The sequence below is a fragment of the Homo sapiens genome, chromosome 10 (genome assembly GCF_000001405.40).
Source record: "Homo sapiens chromosome 10, GRCh38.p14 Primary Assembly".
Taxonomy (NCBI): Eukaryota; Metazoa; Chordata; class Mammalia; order Primates; family Hominidae; genus Homo; species Homo sapiens.
In genome coordinates this window covers 68,109,775-68,132,637 of record NC_000010.11, presented here as the reverse complement: position 1 = coordinate 68,132,637, position 22,863 = coordinate 68,109,775, and the positions used below count along the sequence as shown (strand labels likewise).

At 38.3% G+C, this 22,863-nt stretch overlaps 1 protein-coding gene across 10 annotated transcripts in view; it reads right to left on the bottom strand.

The window, feature by feature from the left end:
* MYPN (myopalladin) overlaps window positions 1-22,863 on the bottom strand; it is a 124,121-nt gene that overhangs the window by 79,380 nt on the left and 21,878 nt on the right. For 6 of the 10 annotated variants that reach the window (NR_045663.4, XM_017016834.3, XM_047425876.1 and 3 more), the window contains one exon: window positions 10,298-11,200. The exons of 3 other annotated variants lie outside the window; for them this stretch is intronic. Coding sequence is in view for 5 of the 7 variants with exons in the window: in XM_047425876.1 (XP_047281832.1) it covers window positions 10,298-11,200 (903 nt within the window). In the remaining 2 variants the exon portion in view is untranslated. Of the gene's footprint in view, window positions 1-10,297; window positions 11,201-18,341; window positions 18,406-22,863 lie in introns of all 10 variants that reach the window. One more of the 10 variants, NM_001256268.2, reaches the window with a different exon arrangement.

The following is a 22,863-nucleotide window of genomic DNA, read 5'->3' as shown; positions in this document are numbered from 1 at the left end:
TCTTGGCATTCGTTTGCAGTATGGTCTGGACAGGAGTGATACTTGAAGTAATTAACTGCTGATTCAGAATGGATGCCACTACCAATCAGAAAGATGTAAACCATAACCAGCCTCAAGGGCTATACCAGTTGTACTAATTAAATATCACAACTGGGGCTTGGGGCCAATTATCTTCTGACAAAAATATGAGAAAGAAAATTGAGGCCAATTTTGTACTTGAACAAAAATGCAAAATCCTTTTAAAAATTAGCAAACCAAATCTTGAAATATATGAAAAGATAGTGGATTATGACAAAATTGTGTTTATCCAAAGAATTCAAGATTGGTTTAACATTATAAAATCAATATTCTTTACCATACTAACAGAGTAAAGGGGAAAAACACATGATAAGCTCAATAAATGCAGAAAAAGTGCTTGAAAAAATTCAACATCCTTTCATGATTTTTAAAAATCTTAGTATTTTAGACATCAGAACTTACAACAAAATCCTACATAATATGTTATTATAGAGCTAGAAAGCATTCTCTTCAAGATCAGAAATAAGACTAGAGCATGTATTGAACAGAAAAAGACACTTCTGTCCAACATTGTACCAAAGGATTTAGCAAGCTCAAAACAGCAAAAATAATGAAATACGAAATAGAGGATTATAAAGGAAGAACACACCCAAAAATCTATAGATAGATTTCCATAAATTTAGCGGTTGTTGAATGAGGAAAAGTCCTCCAAAGGAGAATTGTTTCATGAATTTAACAAGGTTATAGAAGTTGATTGTATTTCTATTACATAACAAACATAGAAAGTAATTTTTAACAATGATGCCATTAATAATAGCATTAAAAAATAATAATAGCATTAAAAATGAGATGCCTATGAATAAAGCTAACCAAGGATTTGTAAGACCCAGAGAAAAGATTACAAATCTTTTTTGAAAGAAATTAAAGAATACCGCCTATGAAGGCTGGCATAGTGGCTTACACCTGTAGTCCCTGCTACTCAGGACAACCAGGCAGGAGGATCACCTGAACCTGGGAGTTCAAGATTACAGTAAGCTATCATTGTGCCACTGCACTCCATCCTGGGTGACAGAAATTAAAGAATACCTTTGAAAATGGAGAAATATACCATGTCCTTGACTATGAAAGCTCAGTATTTTAAAGATGTCAATTCCCCTAAATTGATATACAGATTCAATGCAATTCCAAAAATCTTATTAGTTTTTTTTGTTGTTGTTCTTTTTTTTTTTTTGAGACACAGTCTCGATCTGTTGCCCAGGCTGGAGTGCACTGACACGATCTCGGCTCACTGCAACCCCCACATCCTGAGTTCAAGCGATTCTCCTGCCTCAGCCTCCCAAGTAACTGAGACTGCAGGTGCCCGCCACTATGCTCTGCTAATTTTTGTATTTTTGGTAGAGACGGGGTTTCACCATGTTGGCCAGGCTGGTCTCGAACTCCTGACCTCAAGTGATCTGCCCGCCTTGGCCTCCCAAAGTGCTGGGATTACAGGCGTGAGCCCCCACACCCGGCCTAGATTTTAAAACTTGGTAAGAGGATTCCAAAATTTATATTATAAGGGCAAAAGAGCAAGAAAGGCCAAAAATCCTTAAAGTGAAAAATTTGGAAACCAAGAGCTGTGAAAAGCCTATTATAGCGAGATAAATAAATCACAGGAAAATAAGAGAAAGCCCATACGTTTATGGAATTTCAATTTATGATGAGCTGACACTATAGATCAGTGGGGAAAAGATATACTTTTCCATCAACTGGTGCTAGAATATTGGCTATCCAATCTTAAAAAATGAAAATGGGTTCCCGGCTTTACATTATACACAAAAATCAACTTTAAGTGGATTAAAAACTTAAATGTGAAAGACAAAATTACAAAATTTTTAGAAGACAAAATACAAGAATATCTTTATGACTTTGAGGTTAGGAAGAATTTCTTAAACTAGATGCGAACTACAAAAACCAACATCATAAAGGAAAAAATTAATTAATTTGGAGCAAAAGTTAAGAATATCTAATTATCTAAAGATAAACTAAAATAAAATAAAAATAAAAAGAGGAAATAGAAAAATAAATGAAACCAGAAGAGGATATTTTCATAACGTGTTATATGACTAGTATCCAGTAGTATCCAGGATATTGCTGTTTTTTTTTTTTTTCGAGAGGATGAAAGGGAGTTTCACTCTTGTCACCCAGGCTGGAGTGCAATGGCATGATCTTGGCTCACTGTAACCTCCATCTCCCGGGTTCAAGCAATTCTCCTGCCTCAGCCTCCCGAGTAGCTGGGATTACAGGTGCCCGCCACCACGCCTGGCTAATTTTTGTATTTTTAGTAGAGACGGGTTTTCACAATGTTGGCCAGGCTAGTCTCGAACTCCTGACCTCAGGTGATCCGCCTGCCTCGGCCTCCCAAAGTGCTGGGATTACAGGCGTGAGCCACCACACCCAGTCTATACAGGATATTTTAAAAGTTTTATAAATCAATAAGAAAAGAACAAAAAATCCAATAGAAAAATGGGTGAAAGATGTAAACAGGCCCTTCATAAAACAAGAGTCCTGAAAGGTCAACAAACAAAAAAATTTCAACCTCATTTGTAACTGCGGAAATGAAAATTAAAACCACTTGAGATAATACTTCATACCCATCAGACTGGCAAAAATGTAAAAGTCTGGTATAGGTTGAGCATCCCAAATCCAAAAATATGTAATCCAAAATGCTACAAAAATTTAAAACTTTCTGAGTGCTGACAACACTCAAAGGAAATGTTTATTAGAGCCAATCTCATCTGAGATTTGAAATTCTCAGATTTGGGATGCTCAACCAGTAAGTATAATGCAATATTCCAAAATCCAATAAAAATTGAAATTTGAAACACTTCTGGTCTCAAACAATAATATCAATATTGGCAATGATGTAGAACAACCAAAACTCTTACACAATGTCGGTGGGAATGTAAATCAAAACAATTCCTTTGGAAAACAATTTGGTATTATCATAAAGTTGAAGTTATACATAGTCTGCCAGCAATTTTATGCCCAACGCACTCATTCACCAGGAAAAGCTTGTGTACCATACTAGAACATTTGTAATGACATTGTTCATATTAGGAAAAAACCTGTAAACAACCCAAATGTACATCAATGATATATTATTCTAGCCATACAGTAAAATACTGCATAGCAATGAAAACAAGTGGTTTAGAGTTGTGTGTAACATGGATATACTTTTTAAAGAAAAAAATTCAAGTAGTAGAAGAAAACAGACATTCTGATTTCACTTGTATCAGTTTTAAAACATGTAAAAGTTACTAATATTATTTTTAAAAATATTTTCATTATGAAAACCTTCAAACATACATAGAGAGACTAGAACAATGTACCCCTTTGCACACATTGCTTATCTTCAACAAATTATCAGCAGTTTGTTAGAACACAGACGGCCGAGCCTCTTCCCTAGACATCCTGATTCAGTGGGTCCGAGATGTGGCCTGTGAATTTGCCTGTCCATCAAGTCGCAGGTGAAGCTGACGCTGCTGGTCCATGGACCCACTTTGAGTAGCCTGCTCTAGGAGGCTTTTAGAATCTGACCTCTTGGAACTAGTTTAAGGCACATTAAAAAAAAAAGAGAGAGAGAGAGGAGAGAGAATCTGGCGTCTAGTCTCTCTCTATGCTTATCTCAAACCATTTCCCCCTCACTCTTTAAGATTTAGTGACATCAAGACATAATTGGTTTCTTCAATTTCTTAAACTCACCAATTAACTTGCTGCATCAAGGGCTTCAAATTTTCTATTCCCTCAGCCTGCGACACTTTTCCCCACAGACTACTTTGCCAGCCTAACTCTTAGCTGTCCTTTATGTCTCAGCCTTAATATTGATTTTCAAGAAAACCTTCCCAACCCATGAGGTTTGGTCCCTTTGCTATATGCTCCCTCCTTTATAACATTTATCACAATTGTAATTATATAAACAGTTATGGAATTTGTGTTTATTATCTGTGTTCCTTACTATACTCTATGCTGCATGAAGGCAGGGAATTTGGCTGTCTTGTTTGCTGCTTTAACCTTAGTGTCTACAACAGTATGGGGCACATAAATAGGCACTTAATATTTGTTGGATGAATGAATGAATGAAGGTATCTAGATTTTTCCAAAAAGTAGAAAGAAAAAGCCTCTAAATAGTGTAATATGAAATTCAGATATGCTTTTTATTTATAACTATTTTGTTTCCTACACTACTTGTAGACAAATGTCTAGAAGCAGCAATAACAAAACTTAACAGCCATAGCAGGCATCAACATCTATAAAAGGTAAATTTGTGCTGCCTGGAAAGGTTGTGTACAAGCAAACATAGAGTTACCCAGCTGTACATTCCTGGGGAAAGAATTTGGAGCTGGGATACAGGAAAGGATCACGGCCATTTGCTGTGAATTCTCACAGACTCTTTCATCTCTGGGTAATACATGAACGTATTTCATTTTCTAAGACAACTCCTCCAATGAAGCTATGTCCAAGAAAGATTAACAGGCTTGCAAAACACACTAGCTTCAGTGATACAGGATTCCACCCCTACTTATACAACAATTTCTACCCAATTAACTTGGAAATCAACAATATAAACAAAATAATTTTTCAACTTGTTAAACTAGGGTTACAAGAACATGGGCAAAACACTGATTATATAATACACAGGAGCACATAGGTTAGGCTTCAGTTGCCCAGTATGCTTATTATATTTTCTTGCTAAGATAGCAAAAAAGGATACTATCCTTATTGACTGTGGTGTTCCTATTTAGCAAACCAAAATGTCTCATTACTTTGTTATTTTAAGGTATTTTTTAAGGAAATCCTCTGAATCAAAATCTGTTTTCCTGGGTCCTGTGGAGATGCCTCAAAAGTTTCAGTGGCGAACAAACAGGTAGGGCTCCAGGCATCTCTACCCCACCCCTCTTCAAAACTCAATAGCACTACTTTATCTTAAAAAGATATATGTGTCCCAGGCTTGGCACGGTGGCTCACACCTGTAATCCCAGCACTTTGGGAGGCCGAGGCAGGCAGATCATGAGGTCAGGAGTTCAAGACCAGCCTGACCAACATGGTGAAACCCCATCTCTACTAAAAATACAAAAATTAGCTGGGCATGGTGGCACGTGCCTGTAATCCCAGCTACTCAGGAGGCTGAGGCAGAAGAATCACTTGAACCCAGGAGGCGGAGGTTGCAGTGAGCCAAGATTGTGCCACTGCACTCCAGCACTTCAGCCTGGGTGACAGAGCGAGACTTCATCTCAAAAAAAAAAAAAAAAAAAAAAAAAGATATATGTGTCCCAGGCTGGGCATGGTAGCTCACGCCTATAATCCCAGCACTTTGGGAGGGCAAGGGAGGTGGATCACCTGAGGTCAGGAGTTCAAGATCAGCCTGGCCTACATGGTGAAACCCCGTCTCTACTGAAAATACAAAAAATTAGCTGGGTGTGGTGGCGGGCACCTGTAATCCCAGTTACTTGGGAGGCTGAGGCAGGGGAATTGCTTGGAGGCAGGGGAATTGCTTGAACCCAGGAGGTGGAGGTTGCAGTGAGCCAAGATCTGGCCATTGCCCTCCAGCCTGAGTGACGGAGAGACTCTGTGTCAAAATCACTACTCCACTCTAGCACTGGACTGAACCAACTAGGAGATGGCTCCAAGTATTAGTTGTGTTTACGGTTCCTTTGTAAGTACAGAGATACTGTGTCAGGCTTTTCTCAGTGTCCAGGGTATTCCTTGGAATGTTTCTAGTTCCACTACTCTCTCATCTGACTTTCAGTCCTGCATTTCTGGCTGCCTACTGGAAATGGTCCTTCTGTCCCCTCAGACTCAAATTCCCATCGACCTCCTCCACAAACCAGCCACTTCTTCCCTTATCTCAGTCCATGCTGGAGACCCCATCTTTCTTTCAAGTATCCAGGTCCACAAACTTGTGGAGTAAATTTTGTATACCCATCCTTCTTCTGTGGTGTGTCACCAAGTTCAGCTTGATTTCTTTTCTTCTAAACATTGCTCGCTGACATCCTTCCTCCTCGTTCCTACCACACCTACCCGAGTCCGACCAGAGCATCAGATGCCTAGGATACCTTCCGCAGCTTCCTAAGTGGCTTCATGGCTTCATTTTTTCCAGGTGTGACTTATTCTTGCAGATTAATTATCCTTAAATCCTCCCTTTCATCTTGTTACTTCCCTATACATAACCTTAAATGGTTTCCAGTTTGTTTTGAAACCAAGTCTGAACTACTCTGCTTTGCTTTCAAGGTTCTTCGAAGTCATCTGACTCTACTCTCCTTTCCAGTTTGGTCAGTGTCCTCTCTGCTATATAAAAAATATTATTATAATTAGAGCGTCTGTGCCTTTCCATAAACATGCTGAAGTGACCTGGCCTGAAAGGACCCATTCCTTCCACCTACCTCTTCAACCTTATCTCTAATCTTTCTTACCTTTACCCTATGTTCTTGACATAGATGAGTACTTATGGTTCCCTGATAACACTTGCCTCGGGAGCTTTGCACTTGCTTTCCCCTCTACCCTTGGCCTCCTCTACCTCCTGTGTTAACACTTCCTTTATCATGCACTCCAGGCCAAGCAACTCATATACTCTTTTAAGCCACCACTGCCTCCTCTACAGACTCCTGTCATAGCCCTTATTACATAATACTGCAGTGATTGATTTGTTTGCTGTCTGCCTGATTCCTAGCTATTAGATTGTGAGCCACCCTCTCAGAAGAGTTTAGATTTGGTTTCAAAACAAGATTTATGACCTCCACTAGCTCACAATTGTTTTGTACTCCCAGTGAATCACTTTAGTAACTCAATTGATATTTGTTGAATGAGTAAATAAGAAACTTTCTACCTAAATTTTCACTATTCAAAGTTCAAGTAAAATCCTCCTACATCTCTGAAGACTTCTTTGACTTTTCTAGTCCTTCACTCCTTCTCTGACACCTGACACTACTTAAAGTTTGTACTATAAAAATTAGGATTATTTCTTTAACTGTATTGCAAGCTCCTTGAAGGCAGGGATGCATATTTATATTGTGTCTGTCATTGCATTGATCACTGTGCCGAACACACAGTAAAAACTAACTAAATAAATACATATTTGCTTTCTGATTGGAGTTATATAAATTCTGTGCTTAGGAAAATGGCAGCTAATAGTCTACTCGGACAATTCTAATTCTATTCTTAATCTAATTGCAGTCATAAAATTAAGTACTAACTCATTCAGAAAATATTTAGCATATACCTACTAATTTCCTAGCATCCAACCAGTGGTTAGGATACAGGCATGATTGCTGTCAGTAAAGAAATTCTTCCCAGGAAAAATTAGCATTGCTACATGGAAACTGTGTACATTTCTTTCACTTTTAAATTTGAAGATTTGCAAATTTTTAGTTGGCTGATTAAATGGTTTCTGAGTGGCCACCAGATTACTTTGCTTTGTGGGGAATGTCTTCCTAATTGACATTTCTTAGTGGTGCATTGAATTCATTCTTGTATCTGAGATTGTCATGGTTGAAAAATGAGTAGGATGAGACCTGAATGATCTGGTCTAATTTTTGTTTTAATCAATCTATGTCCAGAAACTAATGGATTGGACAGGACTAACCTAAGTTTTGTGTATATCACAACTGGAGTGCTCACCAGCTTACTTAGACTGACCAGATGCTGCTGAGTAGTAGCTGTCATGGGGCTGTAGTGACATCTCACTAGCATTACCAACCAGAGTCCCAGGGAGTATCATCAGGCACGTTCAGAGCAGAAGAGTAGACACCGCCCTGTGTTTTTCAGTTCCAACCCTTTGCTACATCTTAGGCCAACGGTCTCACTTCTGATTTAAATCTAAGTTGAGTTTCTTGTTTTCCTGTTTCTTTATCCACTAGCTCATTCAACATTTCTGAGTGGCTACCATGAGCCCAAAGCTGTGCTCAGTGCTCAAGACACAAAGGTAAAAACAACAGAATCCCTGCCCTCAAGGAGGTCAGCAGGATAACCTAATAGTCAAATGTATCTGCCACTGTAGAAATAATATTTGGCATTGCCTTATGTCGCCTTTGAAAAGCAAAAATCAATATATGAATATGTCTTTGGGCCAGAATCCCTTGAATTAATATGCCTATATATAAACAAAAATGCTATTATTAATACTACTATTGTCCTATAATTGAATATTATGGAATAAAAAGATGATGCCCAGATGCCCTATTTACATACAGAGAATAAATGTTAAATAGTAATGAAATCATATTCTAGTAATAATCAGGTAGTTACAAACACAAAGTAACTCTTGTAGGACTCTAAATACCAGGAATTCTCTACAAAAGTAATCCACTTCAACCACATTTTTCACATGTTATTCCATTATAAAATCAAAAGTAGGACATGTTACCCTAGGGGCTAACGCTGGTTCCAGGTTTTGTGGGACCTGAAGCTCATAAATGTGGAAGGGCTCCTTTAAAAAGTAAAATAAACTTAGAATGCAAAATTAGGTATAGCCTAGTCAAGTGAGGCGTCCTGAAACTTGCACTGCATTTGCCTCACAGAAAAGCTGACCATGGTAGGCAAATAAAAGATGAATAACCTCTCTATCCATCAGTCATAGCTTTCATGAAGCTGACATGGAAAGTGTATAATACATTTAATACATGTATAATGAATCTTTAAATTGACTTTAGCCTCAGCCCAATTCTATAGGTTTTTATGCTATTATTTGGGTTTCTTTAAAGTTTAAAAAAATACTGCAGGTATTCATTGCATAGAGACCTTTTTTAGGCTATAAATTGTAGCCCTGCGCTGTCCAATACTGTAGTCATTAGACACATGCAGTTACTGGGCACTTGAAATGTGGCTCGTGCAACTAAATAACTGAATTTTTAATTATACTTATTTATTTATTTATTTATTTATTTATTTATTTATTTATTGAAGGAGTCTCGCTCTGTCGCCCAGGCTGGAGTGCAGTGGTGCAAGCTCGGCTTACAGCAAGTTCCGCCTCCCGGGTTCACGCCAGTCTCCTGCCTCAGCCTCTCAAGTAGCTGGGACTACAGGCGCCCGCCACCATGCTTGGCTAATTTTTTTTTTTTTTTTGTATTTTTAGTAGAGACCGGGTTTCACCTTTTTAGCCAGGATGGTCTCGATCTCCTGACCTCGTGATCCGCCCGCCTCAGCCTCCCAAAGTGCTGGGATTGCAGGCGTGAGCCACTGCGCCAGGCCTAATTTACTCATTTTGAGATGGAGCCTCCGCTCTGTAGCCCAGGCTGGAGTGCAGTGGTGCGATCTCGGCTCACTACAACCTCTGCCTCCCAAGTTCAAGAAATTCTCTCTGCCTAAGCCACCTGAATAGTTGGCATTACAGATGCCTGTTACCACGCCCGGCTAAATTTTTTTGTATTTTTAGTAGAGATGGGGTTTCGCCCTGTTGGCCAGGCTGGTCTTGAACTCCTGACCTCAAGTGATCTGCCTGCCTCGGCCTCCCAAAGTGCTGGGATTATACGCTGGAGCCACTGCGCCCGGCCAAAATGAAGGTTGTATTCCCTAGGAAAATTTAACATCCAAATTGAAATATGCTGTCAGTGTAGAATTCACGCCGAGTTTCAAATCCCTGGTATAATAAAAATAATGTAAAATATCTTATTAATAATTCTTATATTGGTTATATGTTGAATGATAATGTTTTATTTTATTTTATTTTATTTATTTATTTTTGAGACTGAGTTTCGCTCTTGTTGCCCGGGCTGGAGAGCAGTGGCGCGATCTCGGCTCACCGCAACCTCCGTCTCCCGGGTTCAAGCGATTTTCCTGCCTCAGCCTCCGGAGTAGCTGGGATTACAGGCGCATACCACCACGCCCGGCTAATTTTTGTGTTTTTAGTAGAGATGGGATTTCTCCATTTTGGTCAGGCTGGTCTCGAGCTCCCGACCTCAGGTGATCGGCTGGCCTTGACCTCCCAAAATGCTGAGATTACAGGCGTGAGCCACTGCGCCCAGCCTACGATAATGTTTTTAATATGTTAGTTAAATAATGTATGTTATTAACTTTAATTTCACCTGGTTCTTTTTAGTTTTTAAAAATGTAGCTACTAGAGAAATTAAAACTACATACGTGACTAGGTTTACATTTCTATTGGACCAAGCTGCTTTAGATACCGACTACTTTTCTCAAAGGGAGTATATAATTTTGTAAACCAGGTGCTTAAATGATAATACTTGGGAGGGTCATGGTAGATGGAAAGCAACATTACTCAGCATTACCAATGGGACATTTTTACCTTACTTGAGGTGGTGGAATTCCTACCACTATGCAATCCAACTGTACTCGAGTTCCTTCTGGAACTTCTCTGCTCCGTAACTTTTGAGTGAACCGGGGAGGTTGCCCCAGAGGTTCTTCATAGTACAGAGATGAAGGGGAAGACCCTGGTGTAGTGTCTCCACCAGCCGCCTCACTGGCAGCCTGCTCCGCTTCACGCCTCTTGGCTTCCTGCTGTTCCAGGGCGTGATTCACTTCATTATCCCTGGTATCCGCAGGGATAGGGATGGGAACAGAAGATCTTTCTCGTCTTTCTGACAGATCTGAGAAACTGGAGCTGTTTTCCTGCATAACTTTGTTTTGAGATTCCAGTTTACTCTTGTGGTTTTTGCAGGCACGAGGTCTAATCCTTTTGGAGCTGTGGGATTTGAAAAGGGAGGATAGCTCTTCAATGAAGTCGGCAGCCTTATTTAAAAATACTTTTTTGGACTGGGTTTCAGAACAATACTGTGGCCTTTTTGCCTCCTGGGGGCTTTCTTTAGAGCTGGTGGGACTTCGAGGGTTATCCTGGCAGAAGTTAGGCTCAAAACTTAAATTAGGTGAGTGTTTCATCTGATCAGGAGAAAGTCGTTTTCTAGCTTGAGTTTCATCTGCCTTCTCCAAAGGGTCGTAATTGATGGCCAGTCTTGCCAAATTGACACTTTCGTCTAATTCTTCTTGGCTCAGAAAGGCTGAAAGATCTGGAAGGTCATCTTGGCCTCCGCCTCCTTCAGCGGCCCCAGAAGGACTGCCGAAATGGCAAGGGTTGGAGGAGGGCTCCGCTCGACTCCTCTCATTGTTTCCCCGATGTCTGGTTTCAGCTAAATAGCTCTCTCTTAGAAGCTGAGATATGGAAGTAGAAGCTTCTATGCTGTCGTCTTGCATGCTGTCACAAAATAATAATAACAAAAAGTTTGGATCATTTCTAGGGAATAACAAGTCTATGTCTATTATAGCACTGCAGACTCGTTAGAAATTAAAGCTCAAAATAAAGAATTGCCTAATTTTAATACTTTTACAAACTTTTAATTAATTTATTTATTTTTGAGAGAAGGTCTCACTTTGTCACCCAGGCTGGAGTGCAGTGATGCAATCTCGGCTCACTGCAACCTCCACCTCATGGGCTCAAGCAATCCTCCCACCTCACCCTTGCACGTAGCTGGGACTACAGGCATGTGCCACCACACCCAGCTGATTTTTGTATTTTTTGCAAGACAAGGTTTTTGCCTGTTGCCCAGGCTGGTCTCGAGCTCCTGGGCTCAGGTGATCCGCTCACCTCAGCCTTCCAAAGTGCTGGGATTATAGGGGTGAGCCACTGTGCCCTCCCCCTTTTACAAACTTTAAAGACTTAAATATTACTCTCAAATTATGAAATAAATAAGAACAGAATGAAATTTCCCTGAAATTGAAAATAAAGACCTGGATGATTACCACTTTATTAAACTCTTTAAAGGCAAGTTCAGTTGTGAAGGCCATGACATAACTGTAATAATATTAAATAACATTTCTAAGCCTGATATTGATAATGTCGATAATGGTCTTTTAGTTATACAGTGCTTTCATACACAGAGATTTGCTCTCCACCCTCTCCTCTTTACCTTGAATGTAATAGAATTATAGAAATTGAAAGATATTGACAACATAATCTCACCTAGTTACTGAAAATATGAACTTGATCTAGCTAGCTCATGGAAAGTAAACAATGCTTTTGTTTTTTGACAAGCTTGCTAGAGACAAGCTGTTTAAATTCAATGTTGTTATTAGGCTCAACCTGTTCTTGAAAACTATGATGATTTAGCTTCTTCATATTAGGCTACAAAGATATGAGTTAGAGCCTAGGTTTTTAAAAAATCTTAAATTAACTTTGGTTAAGAGGGGAAATGAGATATAATGGAATATGATGCTTGGCAGGAGACTTCGCTCTGTGTTCTTCCTAACTTTTGAATTTTAATTATATGATATTACCTATTCAAAAAATAAATATTTTTAAAGTCTTAAGAAAGTAATATAATAATGCAAGCCAATTTTGTATTTTTAATATTATATCCATTTATTCATTCAAACATTTACTAAAGGATGGCAAATTTGTGACTTAGGCTGTCACTACTCTCTCTCATCCTTAAAAGCTGCAGCTCAGTGATTACTGTACTTTCCCCTTGACCTTGACTTTCCTAACACTCCACTCCTTCAGCCATCACCAATCAGAGATGGCAATGGAGATGAAGACTATTTGCCATTCTTGGCTACTGTGTGGGAAAGTGGAGAAAAAAGTAATCTTCTAAATATTTTCTGGCTTTAACATCCTATAATAGAACTTACTTCAGTTGATTTCTTTCCATTCTCTTATATGACAGCATCACTTATATCACACGAAAGGCTTCCTAGGAACTGTCCCAGTTCCCAAACTTCTAGAATGCTATCCCAAACTAACCTCTGATTTGGCAAAGTAGGCAGCCACCTTGAGAAGCAATTAGAGATGACTGAAAGGACCATCCACAGTAAAATATTTTTCCCACCTACTTGCCACAGACTGAGATTGCCCGTACTAGAGCTACTTATTTGGATGAAGTCTATGATGCCTTTTAAAAAAGATTAATTTAAAATGCAAAGGTGACAGGGCACAGCGGCGCACGCCTATGATCCCAGCACTTTGGGAGGCCAAAGCGGGTGGATCACCTGAGGTCAGGAGTTTGAGACCAGCCTGGGCAGCATGGTGAAACCCTGTCTCTACCAAAAATACAAAAAATTAGCTGGGCGTGGTGGTGGGCGCCTGTAATTCCAGCTACTCAGGAGGCTGAGACAGGATAATTACTTGAACCTGGGAAGCGGAGGTTGCTGTGAGCCAAGATTGCACCATTGCACTCCAGCCTGGGCAACAAGAGCAAAACTCTGTCTCAATAAATAAATAAATAAATAAATAAATAAATAAATAAATAAAATAAAATGCAAAGGTGTTGGAGGGCAAAGATTTGTCTACAAAGGTGTTTATCACATGATAATATTTAAAAATTGTAACCATGTTCAGTAATAAGAAATTAGTTAATTAAATTATTACTCATTAAATAGAACTATATGGCTATTTATTAAATTTCATGGAACAGTGAATAATACACAAAATAGTATATGAAAGTATAATTGATACCCCAATTGAAAATCTTTCTCATTTGTGCACCAACTACATGTAGTAACAGTTAAAGATATATGAAATAAGGTGCAAAATGTTATTTGAAAATGTAATTAATATACCGAAAATCCTCATTTGTAACTCAACTATTTCTTTAGCCTCGTTTAATTTTCTGTTTCTGTTTAGATGGGGGGGAAATTAAGTGCCTTATAAATCAGGATGGCTTTCTCTCTATTCATTGGACATTACTGTTTATTGTGGTTTTTTAAATTTCCTTCCTTCCTTCCTTCCTTCCTTCCTTCCTTCCTTCCTTCCTTCCTTCATCACTCTTTTCCCTCCCTCTCTCTCTCTTTCTCTCTTTCTTTCTTGACAGGGTCTCACTCCCTCACCCAGGATGGAGCACAGTGGCATGATCATAGCTCACTGTAGCCTTAAACTCCTGGATTCAAGCAATTCTCCCTCCTCAACCTCCCAAGTAGCTGGGACTACAGCCACGCACCACCACACCTGGCTAATATTTAAATTTTCTGTAGGAACGAGGTCTCTCTATGTTGCCCAGGCTGGTCTCCAACTCAAAGAACCTCAAGTGATCCTCCCACCTCCATCTCCCAAAGCTCTGGGATTACAGGCATGAGGCATCGTGCCTAGCCTGTATATTGTGTTTTAATGTGACTTTGTCTTTTACTCTTTATTTTGAGATAGCTTTTATACTGAGGCAACATGGAATGAGCATTGGCCTTGGTACCAGATAGATCTAATTCCAAATTCTGCTTCATCTCGTAACAATTATGTAACTCTGAGAAGTTAACTTATTTGAGCTTTGGTTTCTTCATCTGTAAAACATGAAAAAATCTATTTCCCAGGGGAGTAAGGATTAATAACATCAAAGGCAAAGTCCTTAAAATAGGGCTTGCCACTATAATGGGTATTCAACTGATGTTTGTAAAAAACAATGCTTTGGTGAAGGTGATGTTAAAGTTGAAGAACTTTAAAAAAGTTTATATTTGTGGTGGAAATAGAAAATAAAATTCTTAGATAAGTTTTTTTTTAAGAAAAGAAGCCAATTGAGGTGTTAATGTACCTGTTCTTATGTTTATGGTTATGATAAATTATTACAACAAAACTTTCAGGTATTCAAAATAAAGATTTCTTTAATGTTTTAATGTAGTACTTATGACCTAGTACTTTGGCATTAGATAGAACTGGGTTCAAATCCTAGTTCTGACACTTCCTAATATCCTCGTATAAACTTGGGAAAGTTTAAACTCTATATGCCTCAGTTTACTCATCTGTAAAACAGATATAATAGTAGTAGCCATATCATAGGTAGAAGTGATGATTAAATGTGCTTGGGATTTAGTAAACATTCAATAAATGGAAGTTACTATTACTATAATAATAATAATTATTATTATTATTTAACAGCTATGGCCATGTATCATGGCCTCCATTTTATAGATAAGAAATGGAGGCAGAACTAGTGAAGTGGCTTGATCCGAGGAAAAATTTGAAGAAAAACCAAAGTCTACATTCATAGTTAATTCAGTGTATCTGTATTCTATTGAAATACAGTCTCATGAATTAACTGTGTTGACTTCAGATCTTTGTATTCTCTTTGCTTGGACTGCTTCCTGTGCCCACCTCTTTTCACTATCCTATCAGGCCTAATCCTACATGGTCTTTGGTTCCTAGCTGAGACATCACTGCCCTGGGATTTCTTCTCTTCCCTGAGTTGGGTACCTCTCCAATGTGCTCCCAAAGCTCACTGTCCTTGACACAGTCTCCAAACACAGTACTTATCACAATATATGAAGTGTATTTTCTTCTCTGTCTCCTTCACTATGTTTTGTACACCATCGTCTCTGCACCCACATAGCACATAGAAGGTGGTCAATAAATTTTTTTTTTTGAATTTATGTGTTCATTAGAATTTTCTGCTAACTCTACTATTAGCTTTCACTTTTTTTTTTTTTTTAAGACAGAGTTTCGCTCTTGTTGCCCAGGCTGGAGTGCAATGGTGCGATGTCGGCTCACTGCAACCTCCACCTCTCACGTTCAAGCGATTCTCCTGCCTCAGCCTCCCAAGTAGCTGGGATTACAGGCATGTGCCACCATGCCTGGCTAATTTTTGTATTTTTAGTAGAGACAGGGTTTCACCATGTTGATCAGTCTGGATGGTCTTGAACTCCTGACCTCGAGTGATCCACCTGCCTCGGCCTCCCAAAGTGTTGGGATTACAGGTATGAGCCACCATGTCCGGCCTATCTTTCACTTTTGATTGTAGGATAAAATAGGACAGATAAAGGAGGTCAAAGAAAACTTATAGACACAAAGAAAAACTATAAACTGGTAAAGGCAGTCATAACTTTAAGATGACTTTCAAGTGAAAATTTATTTATGATGGATAAAATAACTGAAATCATGCTTTGTTTTCTTTTTTCTTTCTTTTCTTTCTTTTTTTTTGAGATAGACTCTCGCTCTTATAGCCCAGACTGAAGTGCAATGGCACGATCTCAGCTCACTGCAGCCTCTGTCTCCCGTGTTCAAGCGATTCTCCTGCCTCAGCCTCCCAAGTGGCTGGGATTATAGGCACCTGCCACCATGCCCGGCTAATTTTTGTATTTTCAGTAGAGATGGGTTTTCACCATGTTGACCAGGCTGGAATGCTTTACTTTCATACCAGAAGTATCAGAGAACATCTGATTATAATCAGAAACCTGGGTTTGAATCCCAGCTCCAACACTAAATAACTTTGTTTTCTTGAGAAAGTCACTTAATGCATCTGAATCTCAGTTAACCTCATCTGTCAAATAGGACAACAATTCTATCTTTGAGGATTCTCAGATGAAAATGCATATATAAATTGTTAAACTGATAAAATATTAGCCAAAATAAAAAATATGAAAATTATTTTTTTAAGCATTAATTTAAAAACTTTCTATTTTAAGCATTAATTTTATAACTATTATAAAATTTGTACTTAAAAAAAATCATAAGTGCTCTTATAGGTACCCTATAATTCATTTATTCATCCAATAAATATTTATTGAGCATCTACTATGTGCCAGGCACTGTTCTAGGCACTGTGGATTCAGTGGTGAACAAAAGACAAAGTCTCTATCCTAATGGAACTGACATTCTAGTAGGGAAAATATTAATGTTGGGAAGAAAAATAAAATAGAAAAGGGGGATTGAGAATAATGGAGGAGGAAACAAAGTGTGTTATTTTAGCTAGCAAAGTCAAGCAAAGCTTATAATGCAGTGGAGAAGTTACTCATGTGACCATCTGGTAAAAAAAAATGTTCCTGACAGAGGTAGAAGTAAGCATCAAAGCCTGAAGAGGTGAGTGTTTTGTATGTTTAAGTCAAGCCCAGTGAGCGAAGAAGTGCGTGAAAAAGAAGAGCCAAAGAAAATGAGGGCAGAAAGGTTCAAGGCCAGATCATTTAAGGTCTTGCAGACCATGGAAAGGACTTCAAATTTTATTAAACGTGTGAAGGGAAACCACTTAAAGGTTTTGAGAAGCAGATGGCATGGTTTTGAAAAAGTTCCATCATGGCTGCTATGCAAAGAATCAAACTGAAGGAAGTAACAGTAGAAGTGAGCAGATCAGTTAGGAGGCAATTGCAACATGCTACACAAGGGATGATGGTGGCTTGGACCAATGAGCGGTAGCCATGGGAGATGGCCAGAAATGCTCGTATTTGAGATGTCTTTAAAAGTAGAGCCAATGCGGTTTGCTGATGGATTAAAAGTGGGATGTGAAAGAAAGAGCAGTCAAGAATTACTCCAATATTTATGCCCTGAGCAACTAGGTCATTAGCAAAATCATTTGCTGGGATGAGGCAGGAGCAGGTTTCAGGAAAGAAAATCGTAAGTTCTCTTAGACATTTCAGCTGCAGTATTCAGAGTGTCATTTGACTTTTTTTTTTTTTTTTTTTTTTGAGATGGAGTTTCACTTTGTCGCCCAGGCTGGATTGCAGTGGTGCAATTTCCGCTCACTGCAACCTCTGCCTCCTGGGTTCAAGCAACTCACCTGCCTCAGCCTCCTGAGTAGCTGGGATTCCAGGCGCGTGCCACCACCCCTGGCTAATTTTTGTGTTTTTAGTAGAGATAGGGTTTCACCAAGTTATCCAGGCTGGTTTCAAACTCCTGACTTCAAGTAATCCACCTGCCTCAGCCTCCCAAAGTGCTGGGATTACAGGCGTGAGCCACCATGCCCCGTCACAGTGATATTTGAGTTTGTTTCCTCTTTTCTGTTTCTCACAAAATGGAAAATTAGATTTTTTTTCCCACTTTCAAAATAAGAATGAGTAATTACCCTTGAAAACAGATCATGGCATTGATGAAATGGCACCAGATTGGAAATGAAACAATTAATGTGGCATCAAACATCAAGATAGACTTTAGCAAATCACGTAAAATAATTTGGCAACATAGACAGCTTATTTTACTTCCTTTACTTTCCTAAATATCTCTATTTTTTTCCCTAGGACTTTTCCAGAAAAGAGGATCTGCCCTAAGAACTTTCTGAAAATGTTGAGTCAGGTTTATGGTGGGGCACAGTGGCTCATGCCTGTAATCCCTGCACTTTGGGAGGCCGAGCCAGGCAGATCACTTGAGGTCAGGTGTTCGAGACCAGCCTGGTCAACATGGTGAAACCCTGTCTCTACTAAAAGTACAAAAATTAGCTGGACGTGGTGGCAGGTGCCTGTAATCCCAGTTACCTGGGAGGCTGAGACAGGAGAATCGCTTGAACCTAGGAGGCAAAAGTTGCAGTGAGCCGAGATTGTGCCACTGCATTCCACACTCCAGTCTGGGCAAAAGAGCAAGACTCCGTCAAAAAAAAAAAAAAGAAAAAAAAAAGAGAGTCAGGTTCATAAAAACAAAAGTTTGAGGCTGATACCTTTGGACATGTTTTTCAACTCATGTTAACTCGGTGCTATCCTTCTTCAGGCTCTAAGAAGACCCTGTTGTTGGAAATACATGGAATAAACTCATTTTTTAGTTATAATATGAAAATTTAAGCTGGGGCATTGACCAGAGAATTGGCAAAAACTAGTATGAAGTAACTTGAATTCAAACATAAATAGTGAAGTATTCTGATTGTGAAGTATTAGATACTTAAATGAGAAAACAAATCTGGGTGTGAGGAATGCCGAGATGTTGGTCAAAGGGTACAAAGTTCCAGTTACACAGGAGAAGGAATAAATTATGGAGTCTTGCTGTACAGCATGGGGACTATAGTTAGTAATAATGTAATGTATTCTTGAATATTACTAAAAGAGTAGAGCTTCAATTTTCTCACCACACAAAAAAGTGGTAAGTATGTGAGGCTATGGATATATTAATTAGCTTGATTTAATCGTTGCAAAATGTATACATACAGCAAAACATTACCTTGTACACCACAAATATATACAATTTTTAATTTGTCAATTAAACCTTCATAAAGCTGAAAAAAACGAATTTATTATTTTTTTAAATGTGTCTTTTTTTTTTTTTTGAGGCAAGATCTCACTCTGTCACCCAGGCTGGGGTATAGTGGTGCAGTCATGGCTCACTGCAGCCTTGAGCTTTGGGGCTCAAGCAATCCTCCCACCTCAGCCTCCCAAGTAGCTAGGACTACAGGTGCTTTCTACCATGCCCAGATAACTTTTAAAATTGGTTGTAGAGATGGAGTCTTCCTATGTTGCTCAGGCTGGTCTCCAACTCCTGGGCTCAAGTGATCCACCCACCTTGGCCTCCCAAAGTGCTGGGATTACAGGCATGAGCCACCGCACCTAGCTACATGTGTCTTTAAACACTGCTCTACATTCCTTATAATGTGGGAAGCACATTCATGAAAAAACCAAAGAACTCCTAAGTAACCTAAATCTGGTTTAGAGGCAGGCCCAAAAATAGCCTAATAGTTAATAATTATTTGTAAAGAGAGCCAGGATAGGAAAAGATAAATATGTTTAAGTAACTCATCTAAAACAGGGATGAGCAGAACTACCCTACTCATTTCATAGGTCTGTTTGTGAAAACACTTTAAAACTGTAGAGCACTATGCAAATTTGAGGTGACCTTTTGCTGGTGATGTGTAATTAATATGCCCAGAATGCTTTTTAGGGAAAGAAAAAATAGACTTTGCTCCCTCTTTTTAATGCCAGTATTGACCTGTTGGTTTTGCCTTCTATATCCAATGATATCACCCTAGAGAAGTATCTAAGTCAGTTCTTTTGGAGAAGTTCTTGCTGGGTCAAAAACCAAATCCCAGTGAACGGGAACCAGTCCTGGAGAGTTATGTACAGATCACCTTTTTAAAATCTGGGTGCAGATGGAGTGTACTTGGTACACTATTACAATATCCATCCCTTCACTATCACAGTGATCATCCCCATCTTACTTTTATTTCTAGTCTATTTTTCGTGTGAACGGCATTAGTAATTTAATAAATTAGTATATACTGCATTACCAGAGTAAGAACTTGAGGAATATGGAAATGATATGTCAATAATAATATGGAAATCATATAAGACACATTATCTCAAAAATTTTTCAGTTTGAAAGAAGAAAAGATAAATACAGACAAATGCATACATCAGAAAAGAATGTTGAGATAAAGAGGCCGAGCAGAGATGATCCATCAGGGAATTAATGAGAATCCGTTTAGGGACATTCCTTTAAGGGCAGAGGTTAAGTAATGAAGACTTTTAGATAATAAGCCAAAGGTGAGTAGGCCATTTTCTTATTATTATTTTAATCGAATTGGTAAAAGTAAGAATGTAGGAAAGAAAGTAAAGATTTCGTTTGAGTGGGAGAAAAAAGACTGGCTCCTACGAAGCGTATTATGTATGTTTTTGTATCCAGAGGATGACAAACATGTAGGGAAGCGCTAGTGAAAGACACTGCAGCCAGAGCTCAAAGGTACTATTTAATCTGAAAGACAGAGAAGAAATATTGTAAAAAATAAATCCTATGGCCCATAGAAAGTCTCATGGAAGGCAATCAAGAAGACTTCAAGAATCTAGGATCAAAAAAGAAAAAGGGTTTGGTGGTTGTCACAAAAGTGATAGGCATAGGAGGTTTTATATCACTCTCAAGATCTCACCATTCATAATGAACCAAACTGTTATAAAGGAAATCCCAAATGGGAAAACTTCGTCAATCCCTATCAACTCAAATATTTATTTTTTAAATGCAAAAATTTAACACTTTCATTCTTCTTCAGCTTCTTACTATTTGTGTCATTTTTAAGGTAATTAAGGATTTGAAAAAAGCTAACTTCCCTAATTAAATTGACATAATACATTTGCTAGATTGAGAGAGCAGTAGGTGTCCCAAGGGATCTCAAGATCAAGTTCTAGTTCAAGCACTTTGTTGGGAGGCTCTATTGGGCCCCTCCCTGAGAGTGGAGTGCACTGTGACTCCGAGTGGAGGTCTCCGTAGCAGGGAGCCTGCACAGAGCTTGTCAAGGTGACTCTGGTTATACATGAACTCTGAGAACTCTATAGCTACTGCAGGTAAATAGTCCCACCAACCTTTGTTCCCACCAAAAATATATCTGCTGAAATTGTTCTTAAATTTCTAAACAGACCATTTAGTCTCTACCTAAGTTGTTCCCTTTAAGCAAATGGGTAATGTTATAGTAGTTTTAAAAGCATTTGGTCAACCATGAAGCACCACAGAGATATTTTAAAAAATATCATCCCCTAGGAGAGGGGAAAACCTGTTAAGAAAACCCTTTCATTTTTCTATCTTGTTATCTAACACCATGAGACCAGCAACATCTTTGTCAAATCTCAATGTGAATGAAAAAAAAATTAATTGTTCTAGGGTTGGCAGGAGCATTTGACTTATATTTTCAGGTTAGTGAACTGAGTCTACTATTCCTATTACGTGTAGGAACTAACTGTTGAAAAATTGAACTCTCACTTTTTCACATACCAACATTAGTTCATTAAAACCCTTTCAAAATGGAACCTGATTTACCTGTTGTCTCATATGTTCAAAAGCAAATTTGCAAAAACTACCACTATGAATTCCAAAACCAGCTTGGACAAAAACTCATTCAACTTCTTGTGTCCATAAATTGTGGTTCTGTGTCTGTTCTACTGAAAGTGCCTTTGTAAGCATATTGTAGTAGTGTCTATATTATAAATTGTAGATATATGGAAGACTGGGGTTTTAACACATTATTATGAGTTCCAGTAGCATTAGCCATATACTATAAGTGGGGATAGAGACACACTTCCAGAATTTGGATAGTGTTCAACTGTTTGTTTCATAGTCCATTATTATAAGATTCTGTAAGGCCTATAATTTTATCTCTTGACACCTCTGTAAGTATATTATCCATATATTTCAGATTTCTTGGGATGGCCTTGATTTTAAATATTTTGCTTGTTGTCAAATCATGTGTCGGACAGTATATCTTATTTTCTGTTTTAAAAAATATGTTTATGATAGCTGTAAGTATAGACATTCTCAATTTCCTAGAAAAGGATTATGAATTTTATGTGAACTCAAGAGCTGTTATTATTAAGGAGAGACTATAAAGTTATGACAAATTTTTAATTTAGTGTTTGTAGGATTCATTTCATTATTACTAAAGTAAAAGTAATTGAATCATACTTTTTTGAGAAAGAAAACTGGATGACTGTGTTGTTTCTTTCAAGCTGATGTTAATATCTTTAATAAGCATATAAAAATCTGTTGATAAGTTACTAAAATTCCTTAACACCATTACTGTAATGTTCACTTTTGAGGACTGGAAATACATAATAATCCATCTTTTCTCTGTCTTTGCTTATACAGTTTTTAAAATTTAACTCAAGATGTGCATCTATTACTGCTAATAGTGCAATGTACCAGGCCAAACATTTGCCACTGACTGTCAAGTGTCTTTCTGATGCAGCTGAAAAGGGAGAGAGAGAAAGAGACGGAGAGAGAGAGAGAGAGAGAAAGGAGAAAGAAAGAGCAATGTCCCTTGAGCAAGACTTTCTGCAGCTGTTGTGTACATTAATCCAGGGAGCAGATCTCCCAACACTAAATATAGCAAGCGTATCCTTTTACATGATAAAAAAATTTAAAATGAAAGTCTTTATGCAGGCATATTATTTTAGATTCAACTTCCTTTAAAAAGGAAACTGGCATTGCTTACATATTCTCTATATAAACAACATTCTTTTAATAAATGAATGTGTGGAAAATGCCAATGAGATATGCAACATGTCACAACTTCTTCTGTTGAGATATTTTTCCTTAGGAACTCAAGTAGTCTGTGATCTCTGTGAGTCTCATCAATCCCCTCCAAAATCTTTACATGTGGAAAGCTTTATTTTTCACTTAATTTCGTGTCCCGTCATATGTAATTAGACAGTTATCCTAGGTTTCATTTCAAGTAACAGTAATGAGTTCTTTGAAATATTCGCTTTTCCACT